At 40.8% G+C, this 14986-nt stretch overlaps 1 protein-coding gene across 15 annotated transcripts in view; it reads left to right on the top strand.

The window, feature by feature from the left end:
* The window catches only part of ATP10B (ATPase phospholipid transporting 10B (putative)), a 366241-nt gene that overhangs the window by 255477 nt on the left and 95778 nt on the right, over window positions 1-14986 (top strand). For all 15 annotated transcript variants that reach the window (XM_017009252.2, XM_047416995.1, XM_011534468.3 and 12 more), the window contains one exon: window positions 3217-3421. In XM_017009252.2, coding sequence (XP_016864741.1) covers window positions 3217-3421 — 205 coding nt within the window. The remainder of the gene's footprint in view (window positions 1-3216; window positions 3422-14986) is intronic.

Raw genomic sequence — 14986 nt, 5'->3', positions numbered from 1 at the left:
TGAGATTCTTTTCTCACAGAGAGTATGGACCATTCCAATGCCTGTAAGTAGCCTTATACTTGGATATTTAACAGGTTTTCCCAGGGCTACTTTGAAGAAGGAAAAATATTATCCCCTGAGTCAGCAGAGAGACCACGAGGTGTTTGACTGTTACAATGGCACTCTTAGTGAAGGAGTTCCCACCCTAAATATATAAATAAACAACAAAATGTTTAAATAATCAAATGTATTTCCAAAATGGCACAGGGAAACAAATCTGGGGTGACTGCCCCTATTATTCATAGAAAATAAAAGTGAGGGTTGGGGGGAGATGGGGATGGTTAATGGGTACCAAAAAAAAAAAAAAAAAACAAAACAAAATAGAATGATTAAGACCTAGTATGTGATAGTACAACGGTGACTATAGTCAATAATAATTCAATTATATATTTTTAAATAACTAAATGAGTACAATTGGATTGTTTGTAACACAAAGGATAAATGCTTGAAGGGATGGATATCCTGTTTTCCATGATGTGATTATTACACATTGCATGCCTGTACGAAAGCATCCCATGTACCCCATAAATATATATACCTACTATGCACCCGCAAAAATTTAAAGGAAAAGAAAAGGGATGTGGGTGGAGTGGAAGCACAGAATGAGCTGATTAACTGAAAGGTGCTTGGAAACCTGTTATGTGCTTTCACATGTAAGGAGGAATTATTACTAAAATGCTACAGACGCATCACCCCCAGAATCCTCAGAAGGGGTCTCAATAGTCATTTGGATGACATTTAACCGTGTCTGCTGCACTGAGCTCCCAGAGCCACAGAGCACTTCCACAGAACCCTGTGGTTCTTTCGAGTTCTAAAGTTGCTCCCCAATTCCAATGTCCCTGTTTATTTTATAGACTTGGCCTTCCAAATGGAAGCACCTTTATTTCAGGTGGCTGGGGAAGTCTTCTGAGAAGATCTTTTATAACCAGGAAGATTGGATCTTAGGAAGACTTGTCTGAGATTCTCCAGAGGGCCTCCAGGAGGGGAGGAAGACACCAAAACCCTCTTCCTCCTCAGGGACTTTTGTGATGTCAAAGGAGAAAACTGGAATTCTATTCACAACTCTTTCTCTGTGGAAGAGTAGATGTGTCATGCCCAGTGCAGCTCAGATTCCAGCAGAAACAGAAACAAGAACATGCCCAGAGGGGCTCAGCATCAGTGAAGAAGCCCAGCAAAGGAAAGCTTGCTTCTCCCGGTCTGGCTGCCTTCAGAGGCACCCAGCTTCAAGCCAGCTGGGCTCAGTTAGAAAGACCACATGTGGGATATTAGTTTGGTTTCAAATCCCACACTTAAAGCGGGACATTTCCAAATGCAGACAGATGAGCCCACACCTCCGGAACAGATCTTGAAACTGTGTCACATGAGGAATAATTGAGGGCACCTGGAAAGTTAAATTTGGCTTGGCACACCCCAAAGTCTTCATGGGACACCTGATGAATGCCTTAAAATATTTAAAGAATGGTAGAAGGTGGAATAGACCGTATTACCTGGAAGAGCAGAACTGTTTAAATATTTGGTTAGGCAGAAGGAAGACTTTCTGAAATGAGAGTTCTTTGAAAATACAATGCAGCCAGGAGCAGTAGCTCACGCCTGTAATCCCAGCACTTTGGGAGGCCGAGACAGGAGGATCACTTGAGGTCAGGAGTTTGAGACCAGCCTGGCCAATATGGTGAAACCCCATCTCTACTAAAAATACAAAAATTAGCTGGACATGGTGGCAGGCGCCTATAATCCCAGCTACTCAGGAGGCTGAGGAAGGAGGATCACTTGACCCTGGGAGACAGAGGTTGCAGTGAGCCAAGATCGTACGACTGCACTCCAGCCTGGGCAACAGAGCAAGACTCTGTCTCAAAAAAAAAAAAAAAAAAAAAAAAAGGATGCATTGCCTTGAGAAGTGGGGAGTTCCTTAGCTGGAGGTGGGAAGGCTGAGGCTGCAGGGAGGTAGTATACCCAAGCAGCAAAAACTGTGGGTTTTGGTGTCGGGCTGGACCCAGGTTCAGGTTCCAGCTCTGTTTTTGTGAGACTTTGAAAAATTTCTTTTGACCCCCAATTACCTCACTTGTGAAATGGGTATGATAATATCTACTCCTGTGGGTTATTATGCAAAGTAAATGAAATGTTAATGAACACAAGTGCTTGGCAGGTAAGAAATGCTAAATTTGTCATTGTTCCTGTCACTATTATCTCAGCTTGATAAATTGGATAGGAAGATAAAATAATTTCCTCAGATTTCCTCAGATTTCTTCGGCCCTCTAATTCCACAGTTACTGTGAGGTCTCATTTCATCAAAACTCCTGGTAGCATCCTCCTAATTCCTGGACTGCCCAGAGTGTTCTGTTTCAGTGTGGCTCCGGATCTTCCTAGACAGTGGCAGAGATCCTCGCCTTTCCTATCGTCACTCTCCTTATAATCAAAAACAATCTTTCCCATATCCCAGTTCCCTGAAACTCTATTTTCTTTGGTAATAACTGGCTATTCTGGTAAATAGTGGATATTAACAGTAGAACCATATTAATATGACAATACAGTTACCTTCTCCTTTAAAATTTTTATCTTTTAAGGAAGCAAGGGCTGAACACAGAACTTGGTCAAGAACTGGCAGGCAAGAAAAATTCTAAATGTTCATAAGAACAGATTTTGTTTTGGTTTGGGTTTTTTTTTTTTTTTTTTTTTTTTTTTTGAGACAGAGTCTTGCTTTGTCACCCAGGTTGGAGTGCAGTGGCGCAATCTCGGCTCACTGCAACCTCCGCCTCCCAGGTTCAAGCGTTTCTCCTGCCTCAGCCTCCCGAGCAGCTGGGACTACAGGCACGCACCACCACACCCAGCTAATTTTTGTATTTTTAGTAGAGACAGGGTTTCACCATATGGGCCAGGCTGGTCTCGAACTCCTGACCTCATGATCCACCCACCTCGGCCTCCCAAAGTGCTGGGATTACAGGTGTGAGCCACCACACCCGGCCAAAGACAGATCTTTACTAATGAGATTCTGTAGATTATGCCTAGCTATTCTAGAGAGATTATGAGGTGGTCATTCAGGGGTAAGGTAGAATACAAGGCAATCTCATGACAGGCTGACTTGGTGGATAGTTAGGTGCTGGTGGGACCTTCCTCTATTCTTTCATTAGTGTTCTGAGGAAACTTAAAGCTCACTCACACCCTGTCTTTCTCTCACCCAAGAAAAGAGCAGACCTATGTGCAGAAGTGCTGGAAGGATGTGCGCGTGGGAGACTTCATCCAAATGAAATGCAATGAGATTGTCCCAGCAGACATACTCCTCCTTTTTTCCTCTGACCCCAATGGGATATGCCATCTGGAAACTGCCAGCTTGGATGGAGAGACAAACCTCAAGCAAAGATGTGTCGTGAAGGGCTTCTCACAGCAGGTAGGGCTCTTTCTAATATCTTCAATGGTAAAGTCATAGAAAGGATGCAAGCCTACCCTACTGGAAAATTGAACTAAACCTACTGGGTAGAGGGGAAAGTAGTAGATGCCTCCTTTTCCCTAGCACTTTAGATACACTAAATCCTACCAGCAGCCCTCTGAGATGGATATTATCTGCATATCACAGATGAGGAAACTGAGGCTTAGTAAAGTTAAATAACTTGCTGAAGGCCTCAGAGTTTCTAAATGGGGATCCACTCTGTTCAACTGAGGAAACTATACTCTCTGCTCTGAACTGAGGAGTCTAATGTCTGTTCCATCATCACTAGGACCAACTCCTCTTCTGTGCTCATCCAATCCCAACTCACTCTGCCCAGCTCAGTCCTAGCAATCTCTCCTGCCACGAATCCTAATATTCCTTCTGCCCCTCCTAAACTGCAGCAAGGTATCATTAACTATGTTTCCATTTGTGTATTCCTTAACTTCTCAACAGTGCTTAAGCCTCCTTGAGGGCAGACAGAGATCACTGATATCTTTTTTTTTTTAAGAGACTGGGTCTCCACTGGGTGCAATGGCTCAAGCTTGTAATCCCAGCATTTTGGCAGGCCGAGAGGCAGGTAGATCACTTGAGGCCAGGAGTTCCAGATCATCCTGGCCAACATGGTGAAACCCTGTCTCTACTAAAAATTTAAAAAATAGCCAGCCCCGTGATGGCAGGCATCTGTAGTCCCAGCTACTCAGGAGACTGAGGCGGTAGAATCACTTGAACCCAGGAGGCAGAGGTTGCAGTGAGCTAAGATCACAGCCTGGGCAATAAAGTGAGACTCCGTCTCAAAAAAAAAAAAAAAAAAAAAAGAGAGAGACTGGCTCTCAGTCTGTCACCCAGACTGGAGTGCAGTGGCATTGACACTTTTGTTTAATCCCCACCCTTTCATAAATGGTACCTCAGACATCATGGAGAAATCATTATTGTTTGGTGGGTAAAAGCTCTGGCTCTGGGGTCTGACTGAGATGGGTTCAAAGCCCAGGTCTCACCACTCATCAGCCATCTCACCTTGGGCAAGTTACCGTCCTCTCACACCTTGGTTCCCTCATCTGGAAAATGGGGACAAAAATAGTTCCCTTTCCATAGGGTAGTTTTGAAGACTAAATGGTAGGTACATGACTTACTTAGCATGAAGATAGGCACATAGTAAAAGACCAGGGAACAGTTGGTATTAATATCAATGCTTTCATAGGCAATATGTGTTGACTGACTGAAGCTGGGTGTGATATCCCAATTTGCAATTAAAATTCTCCTTGTGGGAGTTGATTTCCAATATGGTCCCTTTCTTTAACCAGGGAAAAGAGTACAATTTTATCACTTTTCTTCATTCTGCCAGCCTTTGGCTGGGGAGAAATGGAATGAGTCAGAGGATTTGGGAGAAGGAAAGCAAATGATTTATTCCTCAGAGATTCTCATGAGCTAGAGTGCAGTTTTCCAGACTCAAACTTCTCAAAATAAGTTTTTAAGTTCTAGGAGCAAGGGTCATTGTACCTTGCCTTGCCTCTCTCTAAGCACCTGATAAACAGCTCTCATAAAACCCTTTTTGTGTGATTGATTTGGTCCTCAGAAGCCTGTTCTCTCATGCATATCATGGGAATAATAATAGCTATCCCATGGTTTTGCTGTGAAATTCAAATGGTATAAGGAAAGTAAAGAACAGAATAAAGAGTTTGCTACCCAAGAGACTCACAATAAATGGGAACCATTGCTGCTACTGAGGCTGCAGTTGCCACCACTGGAAATGGAAACCACCACCACTCACTGTAGATCAGCATGTCCACTGGTCTCCAGGCTCTGAGTCAATCACTGAGCAAGGGGCCTGTCTCTGAGTTTTCTCACCCTTTGCTTATTACAGCCGCATTTGCTAAATCACCCTAGTGTTTGCAAAAAGGCAGGGTGAGATCTGGTCTAAGTTCACAGAGTCATTCTAGACAAGCAATAACAGCCTGTTTCTGGGCTCAGAACTCTGTAGCCTGCCCTTCGACCAGAGGCTTTCAAGTCTTTTCAACAGTAACAATGAGAAATGTATAAAATATTACACATAGATACACACACACTCACACATGCTGACACACATACACGTGTGTATATGCGTGTGAATGAGTATGTAAGAATGACACCTTAGCCTCACCACATGCAAGGCACTCTGAGACTTTCTATGCTATTCTACCTTTTTTTTTTTTTTTTTTTTGGACAGTCTCGCTCTGTTACCCAAGCTAGAGTACGGTGGCACAATCTGCTTAGTGCAATCTATGCCTACTGGGTTCAAGGGTTTCTCCTACCTCAGCCTCCCAAGTAGCTGGAATTACAGGCGTGCACTACCACACCCAGCTAATTTTTTGTATTTTTAGTAGAGACAGGGTTTTTGCCATGTTGGCCAGGCTGGTCTCGAACTCCTGACCTGAAGTGATCCACCTGCCTTGGCCTCCCAAAGTGTGGGGATTACAGGTGTGAGCCCCGGTGCCTGGCCTATTCTACCGTTTTTGTTTTTTTTAAAGTTCTAGGAGCAGTAAAACTTATAAATCTCCCCTTTAGCCTCCCTACCCCAACATTCTGAATGTTTCTTACTCTCTCTGGCAGTCATTTCAGTGTTGTTTCAGTTCAACCAGTGACTTCTTTTTGTCTTTGGCAGCAGTTCCCAAACTATGTTTTGCATATTAATTAGTCAGATAGTTTGGGATTTAGCTGGAATGAAGAGTCAGGTAAAAGGGTCATTCACACTCCGGTGCTATAGACCAGCCTATTTAATGAGTCTCTCCAACCCTAACCCTCAGTTCTCACAGAGCACTCGCTGAGATGATTTACAAAAAGAAAAACAAAAAAGAGAGAGAGGTAAATTCCTATGTGAAAGGAAGATTATTTGAGCTTGAAGCTTTCCAGGGTTCTCTACTCTGTCTCAGTTCTTGATTCTCCCCCTCACTTTGCTCAAGAGTGTTTTTTTCATTTTAGTAATAATAATAGACTTTTATTGATTCCATACTAAGGGCTTTGCATGATTATCTCGTCTATCCTCAAAACAACCCAATGAGATGGGCACTATTATTGTCTCCATTTTATACAAAACGAAACTGGGGCATACAGAGGTCCTGTAACTTGCCCAAGGTCACTGAGCCGGGAAGTGTTGAAGCAGGATTCAAAGCCAGGTTTGTCCAGAGCCTCAGTTTTTTGTTTTGTTTTGTTTTGTTTTTTGTTTTTGTTTTGAGACAGAGTCTTGCTCTGTCGCCCAAGCTGGAGTGCAGTGGCACGATCTCTGCTCACTGCAAGCTCCGCCTCCCGGGTTCACGCCATTCTCCTGCCTCAGCCTCCCGAGTAGCTGGGACTACAGGTGCCGGCCACCACGCCCGGCTAATTTTTTGTATTTTTAGTAGAGACGAGGTTTCACCGTGTTAGCCAGGATGGTCTCGATTTCCTGACCTCATGATCCGCCTGCCTCAGCCTCCCAAAATGCTGGAATTACAGGCGTGAGCCACTGTGCCCGGTCCCAGAGCCTCAGTTTTTAAGGCTCAGTACTTCATCTCCCTGGCCCTTTAACTGTTACCTTGCGTTCACACAGAGATGCTTACTTGAAAGCACACATTTATTGTTGCCAGGATTCTTTCCACATAGAGATAGAGGGTGGCAGGGATAATGAAAGTGGGCTCAGCCTGCTCCCTGGAGGGAGACATCTTGGCTGCTCTTTGCGACCTTGCTTCTCCCTTATACTTTTAGGGCAGAAAGATTTCTGAGTATGGATAGAACTCGCTTCTGGCTAACTCGGTACCATAGGATTTCCCTAACGTATTGAACAAACATGTTGATGAGAGTTGCAAGAAAAATAAATGTTGCAAGGCCAAGTAATATGAGAAGACAATAGATTACAAGCTTTCAAATATGTGTTCTGCAGAATTTCTCTGATACTTTAATAAGCCCCAAGGAGAAGGACAGGTGCTATTATGTAGTATTTCTAAATATTTAAGCACAAGAAACTTTTATCCCAAGAAACACATCTCAGAACTACTGTAGGAGGGGTGGGCTACCACTAAGGGATTTGCTGCAAGTATATTACAGGTGTTGAAGGTGTATCATAATCATCACACGGGAAGTTTTTAACAATATATATGCATCCTTCTGTATCACCACCAGTAAATTATGACTCACTAGGACTGAGTAGGGACTTGAGTGTGCATATTTTTAAAAATTTTCTCCCAGACAATCTCGATATAAACCTACCACCACCTCCTTGAAAACCTGTACAACCAAGGAGAGGCGCCATCTCCAGTGCTTCCAGAAACACTTATCCTAATAATGGGGAGAAAACTACCATCTAGGTACTTTTTACTATATACTAGTTCTTTTACATGCATTGTCTATTTTAAGCCTAAGATCACCATGGGAGGTGGGCATTACTATCCCTATTTTACACATGAAACCTCTGAGGCACTGAAAGAGCAAATCTCACTAATCATCTCAGAGATTTTGAACACCTACAAATATGGTTTGTTTGGAAATTTAATATCTTACATAATAAGTATTAATGGCTCTTGATAGTTTATTCTCCCTCTAAGTCCCTACTGTCTTTGAGACCTTCACCTTGCCAAAAGGGTTTTTACTAACCACAGAGATTACTAGGAACATCTAACCCCACATATATACCCACACTCATTTTTACCATCTTCTGGATGATGAGAATTACTATATTCGGGTAATTCAAAGTCAGTAAGACATACTTTGTCCCAGCTCACATAGATCTGCATTTCTCACAGTCTGCTAAGCACTTGTCCCAAGAGACAGTTCTTGAAAAACTCATGGTCCGTGGTCAAGTCAGATTACAGTTTACAAGTCAAATTAAGAAGCTTTTGTCCTGTGAACCCCTCTTGCAGGTTCCAATGTTCATTAACATATTAACGTCTCTGAGAAAGCCTGGAGTCAATAGGCCTGTTAAACTTTCTTTAGCCCTGAGCTCTCCAAATTTATTTAACCTAAGAATTATTTTTCAGCACAAATATTATTAACATTCCTATGGACCTTTTCAGAAAATATTAGCCTGAATTGTGGTACAGACATGGTCACAACAGGTGAAGGGTAACAAAGAAGTTGACAATCCTCATGGCTTAAGCAGTTCATTCTTCCTTTTCCTGTTTAGGTTCAAATGAAATTATAAACATTAAAGAACTTCTTAAAAGGGTCTTTCTCCCATGACATTGCAGATTATCCTCAAGGCTGCCAAAGAGTTAGTTTCAAATCCTTTCCTCAGAATTCTTCTTGGACTAAATCTACTTTTTTTTTCATTGGAACTTTTATCCCAATGGGCCATCTTTGAATTTATAAAATTATTGACCTATTTTTGAGAGATTCACTCTCACTTCCCATTGTTAAAAAAAGAGGGGAAAGGGAAGGAATTAGGATTTGCTAAAAACCTGTCCAGCTGGCAAGAGGACTTTATTAGAGAATTCAAACGTACAGTTTTCTCTTTGGTGACATTCTGATACCTGAAACCTCTTCTGTAAAAGAGTTTTAACCTAGGAATTTAACACCTGGAAAGGAGTATATAGCATTCATTTTGATAAATGTAACAGTTATCTAAGCCAAAGAATCAGAAATGAATGCTTCCAGTTAGTGTTTCAGATCAAACATGTCCCTGGCTATCTATTTTCCAAATCACTGAAGCCTAAGTCCCACTGAAGCATGGGTCAGATCATTCCCCAGGGCCAAGTGGGAACTTGCTATGCCAAGTATGATCTGCGGACTAGCCACTTCAGTAAGCATCACTGAGAGCTTGTCAGAAATGCAGAATCTCAGGCCCCATCCCAGACTGAACCAGAATCTGCATTTTAACAGGATCCTCAGGTGATTCATGTGTACATGAAAGTTTGAAAGACACTGGCCTAGAGCATCAATAATCAACGTAATAATCATATGTATCTGTTTGTTGCTCAGGTTAAAAATTCTCCATTGAGTCTCCCTTTTGACTAGCTTGCATGCCACCAATGGTTAGTGCTTTTAAGCCATTTGCTCAATTACGAATAGCTGCTATAGCTTGGATCCTCTGCAGTGAAAGTATGTATTGATTTTAAGGTACTTAGAGGAGCATTTTGCCAACAAAGAGTTGAGATCCAATAGGGAGAAATTTATTACCTTCCCAGTTCAGTGATGTCAAACCTCAGTTAAAGCAAAAGGTAGCAACCTATCTTCTAACCTTGCCTGCTCTTGAGAACCAGAGAAAGTTCCTCTTTCCTGCTAGATTTGCACTGGGACCTGTCCCTGACAGGCTTCTCCAAATTTCATTTAAGAATGAAACTTAGTGCTTTCTACCTGTTGATCAGTGCTTAAATGTTGAGCACAGATCACATTTTCTAGGATTCTTTTAAAATATGACTTCATAATAGTATAAAATATCAAGAAGAGATTACAACAGATAACTGGATTAAACACCTATGTGCCATAGGCAGTTTTTCTAAGTGTTCTATATCTATTATTTCTTTCTACTACTCAAAAAAACCCTGTAAAATAGGTGCTTTTATTATCTATTTAACAAATGAGGCAAGAACAGTTAAGAAACCCTGTTCTCTAGGTTAACTGAGCTCAGATTCAAACTCGGGCATAGTTCTTTGGTTTGTTTGTTTGCTTTTTGTAATGGAAATTTTTTTTTATTATACTTTAAGTTTTAGGATACATGTGCACAACGTGCAGGTTTGTTACATATGTATACATGTGCCATGTTGGTGTGCTGCACCCATTAACTCGTCATTTAGCATTAGGTATATCTCCTAATGCTATCCCTCCCCGCTCTCCCCACCCCACAACAGGCCCCAGTGTGTGATGTTCCCCTTCCTGTGTCCATGTGTTCTCAATGTTCAATTCCCATCTATGAGTGAGAACATGCGGTGTTTGGTTTTTTGTCCTTGCGATAGTTTGCTGAGAATGATGGTTTGCAGCTTCATCCATGTCCCTACAAATGACATGAACTCATCATTTTTTATGGCTGCATAGTATTCCATGGTGTATATGTGCCACATTTTCTTAATCCAGTCTATCATTGTTGGGCATTTGGGTTGGTTCCAAGTCTTTGCTATTGTGAATAGTGCTGTAATAAACATACATGTGCATGTGTCTTTATAGCAGCATGATTTATAATCCTTTGGGTATATTTCCAGTAAGGGGATGGCTGGGTCAAATGGTATTTCTAGTTCTAGATCCCTGAGGAATTGCCACACTGACTTCCACAATGGTTGAACTAGTTTACAGTCCCACCAACAGTGTAAAAGTGTTCCTATTTCTCCACATCCTCTCCAGCACCTGTTGTTTCCTGACTTTTTAATGATTGCCATTCTAACTGGTGTGAGATGGTATCTCATTGTGGTTTTGATTTGCATTTCTCTGATGGCCACTGATGATGAGCATTTTTTCATGTGTCTTTTGGCTGCATCAATGTCTTCTTTTGAGAAGTGTCTGTTCATATCCTTCGCTCACTTGTTGATGGGGTTGTTTCTTGTAAATTTGTTTGAGTTCATTGTAGATTCTGGATACTAGCCCTTTGTCAGATGGGTAGATTGCAAAAATTTTCTCCCATTCTGTAGGTTGCCTGTTCACTCTGATGGTAGCTTCTTTTGCTGTGCAGAAGCTCTTTAGTTTAATTAGATCCCATTTGTCAATTTTGGCTTTTGTTGCCATTGCTTTTGGTGTTTCAGACATGAAGTCCTTGCCCATGCCTATGTCCTGAATGGTAATGCCTAGGTTTTCTTCTAGGGTTTTTATGGTTTTAGATCTAACATTTAAGTCTTTAATCCATCTTGAATTAATTTTTGTATAAGGTGTAAGGAAGGGATCCAGTTTCAGCTTTCTACATATGGCTAGCCAGTTTTCCCAGCACCATTTATTAAAAAGGGAATCCTTTCCCCATTGCTTGTTTTTCTCAGGTTTGTCAAAGATCAGATAGTTGTAGATATGTGGCATTATTTCTGAGGGCTCTGTTCTGTTCCATTGGTCTATATCTCTGTTTTGGTACCAGTACCGTGCTGTTTTGGTTACTGTAGCCTTGTAGTATAGTTTGAAGTCAGGTAGCATGATGCCTCCAGCTTTGTTCTTTTGGCTTAGGATTGACTTGGCAATGCGGGCTCTTTTTTGGTTCCATATGAACTTGAAAGTAGTTTTTTCCAATTCTGTGAAGAAAGTCATTGGTAGCTTGATGGGGATGGCATTGAATCTATAAATTACCTTGGGCAGTATGGCCATTTTCATGATATTGATTCTTCCTACCCATGAGCATGGAATGTTCTTCCATTTGTTTGTATCCTCTTTTATTTCATTGAGCAGTGGTTTGTAGTTCTCCTTGAAAAGTTCCTTCACATCCCTTGTAAGTTGGATTCCTAGCTATTTTATTCCTTTTTGAAGCAATTGTGAATGGAAGTTCACTCATGATTTGACTGTTTGTCTGTTATTGGTGTATAAGAATGCTTGTGATTTTTGTACATTGATTTTGTATCCTGAGACTTTGCTGAAGTTGCCTGTCAGCTTAAGGAGATTTTGAGCTGAGACGATGGGGCTTTCTAGATATACAATCATGTCACCTGCAAACAGGGACAATTTGACTTCCTCTTTTCCTAATTGTATGCCCTTTATTTCCTTCTCCTGCCTGATTGCCCTGGCCAGAACTTCCAAAACTATGTTGAATAAGAGTGGTGAGAGAGGGCATCCCTGTCTTGTGCTAGTTTTCAAAGGGAATGCTTCCAGTTTTTGCCCATTCAGTATGATATTGGCTGTGGGTTTGTCATAGATAGCTCTTATTATTAGTATATACAAAACTGGAGAGAATAATATGATACATTTCTATGGACCCATCACTTAATTTCAACAATCAGTTTATAACCAGTCTTATTTTATCTGTCTCCCCACCCTCTACTCTCTGCAAATTATTTTGAAGCAGATCTTCAATATTTCATTTCACTGTAAATATTTTACTATCTCTGAAGGATAGGATTTTTAAAATATATGATTATATTATCATACCTAAAAATTAGCAACAATTCTTTGATATCAGCTTTCAAATCAGTTTTCAATATTTTCCATTTGTTTGAATCAGCATCCAAATAAGAACAAGTATTGAGATAATTTCTTTAATCTCTTTTATTCTGTAAGTGCCCCATTTAGCTCTCTTTTTAATGCATAGTTTTTGTTGCTTAATAAACCAGGTTGTTTGTCCTGTATGATTTCTCTTGTTGTTGTAGTTGTTGTTTTGTTTTGTGTTTTTTTTTTGAGACAGAGTTTCACTCTTGTTGCCCAGGCTGGAGTGCAATGGCGCGATCTCAGCTCACCACAACTTCTGCCTCCTAGGTTCAAGCGATTCCCTTGCCTCAGCCTCCAGAGTAGCTGGGATTACAGGCATGTGCCACCATGCCCAGCTAATTTTGTATTTTTAGTAGAGATGGGGTTTCTCCATGTTGGTCAGGCTGGTCTTAAACTCCCAACCTCAGTTGATCCGCCCACCTCAGCCTCCCAAACTGTTGGGATTACAGGCGTGAGCCACTGCACCCAGCCCCTGTACGATTTCTTATAGTCTGTGAGTTGTCTTCCTGTGGAACCATTTAACATGTTTTTCTGACCGCTATACTTTTACAACATGGTAGTAGGATCTAGTGCCTAAGTCGGACTGGGGTTAGATTTGGCATTTGTGCATGTGCATGTCAATGTTATGTCATAGGAACTGCAGTGTGCTACCATCTCAAGGCACAAACATCTATCTTTTTTCACTGTTAATAGTCATTGATGATGGTTGTTTAGATCTATGACTTCAATGGAATTTGAAAAACTAGTGATATTCTAATTGGTTTATAAGGAAAAATTTCCCTTCGTGAAGTATTGGGTCACTCCTAAGTGTCCTCTGTAGAGAAAACGGATGTTTTTGAGTCTTTCCTCTCATTTACATTTTCAAAATAATGAGTTGGTTGCCTAGGATCCTCCAAAGGTGTTCAGTGGGTTTTTCTTTTTTAGCATCAATATGAACTCATGGTTTTAAAAATATCTGACATATGTCAAATCAATGCATTTATTGTCTTTCATTATTGCCCCATCTCTAGCCAGTGGGAGCTTCTTAAAAATGAGAAGTGGCTCCTGAGTCCTTTTCACATAACGTTAGTGGTCTTTGGTAGATCTGGTTCCTTTTAATAGAAACCACAATAAGTACATGCTAGAGGAGTTTATTACTATTGGGTTGATTATTATTTCTATGCCATTTAAATGAACAGAACTAGGACACTTTTAAGATTAAATACATCTAGATTCATGCTGACCCTTCAAATTCAAGAATAGAGGTTTTTTAGTCCACCTCATCCACATTAAATACGTAATCTTTTTCCCACATCAGGCAAATTCCTTATCCACTGCATTACACCACCCCCTTTTGATATTTAACACTCACAGAAATTCTATGAGGTTGAAATTTTAGGAACTAGCAACATATTAGAGATGAGAAAATAACTTCAGAGAGATCAAATTTGTCAAAGATTATCCAGGTAATATAGTGTTGAGACCAAATTAGAACTCAGTTCTGACGTACCTGATTATTTATCCCATTGCGGGAAATATTCTTAACTTTCTTTAGATGTAGTTTTATTTCTCAAATGAATATAATTTTCATATGTATGAAAATTCTAAAGCTCTATAAATGTTAGGTTTAATTATTTATAATAATGATAACTTGATGGTGATGGGGCAACCCTATGAAAAACTGTTACTTTTATTTTCTATAGACTTCTGGCCTCCTTGTGGTGATCTCCTCCAGTCTTCTACTTGCATGTGGGTACACACTCTCCTCACACACCCACACAATGTCCCCTCTTCCCAATGTCTAGCATTATTTTCACATTTCTATTGAAAGGTCTTTTCCTTTAGAGCCTTACGAGGAAACTCTGCTAGGTTTGTGAAAGATGAAATTTTGTTTGTTTGTTTTTGTTTTTGTTTTTGTTTTTGTTTTTATTTGAGACGGAGCCTTGCACTGTTGCCTGGGCTGGAGTGCAATGGCGCGATCTCAGCTCACTGCAACCTCTGCCTCCTGGGTTCAAAAGATTCTCCTGCCTCAGTCTCCCAGGTAGCTGGGATTACAGGTGCCCACTACCATACCCGGCTAATTTTTTGTATTTTTAGTAGAGACGGAGTTTCACTATGTTGGCCAGGCTGGTCTCAAACTCCTGACCTCGTGATCCACCCTCCTCAGCCTCCCAAACTGCTGGGATTACAGGCGTGAGCCACTGCGCCCGGCCTGAAAGGTGAAATATTAATGGATAATATCTTAAAGTTATGGATGATAGCCTAAGGTATTAATGAATTATATCTTAAAGTTTTCTCCTTCCCACCACCTCCAGTACCCAAGACAACGTATTTACATTTTAGTATTGGCCTTCACTGTCTTAACCAATTGTAGGTATTTAAGGTCAATGTGGGAAATATTTGATATCTCAAATGAAAACCATACCAATCTAATATGGTATACGGATTAGTTAAGACTCTTGGTTACATGTGACAGAACTGTAATTCAAAATAGTGTGG

This window comes from Homo sapiens, chromosome 5 (assembly GCF_000001405.40).
Source record: "Homo sapiens chromosome 5, GRCh38.p14 Primary Assembly".
In the NCBI taxonomy this organism is placed as follows: Eukaryota; Metazoa; Chordata; class Mammalia; order Primates; family Hominidae; genus Homo; species Homo sapiens.
Note: the sequence above shows the minus strand (reverse complement) of the source record. Positions and strands in the feature narration are given on the sequence as shown.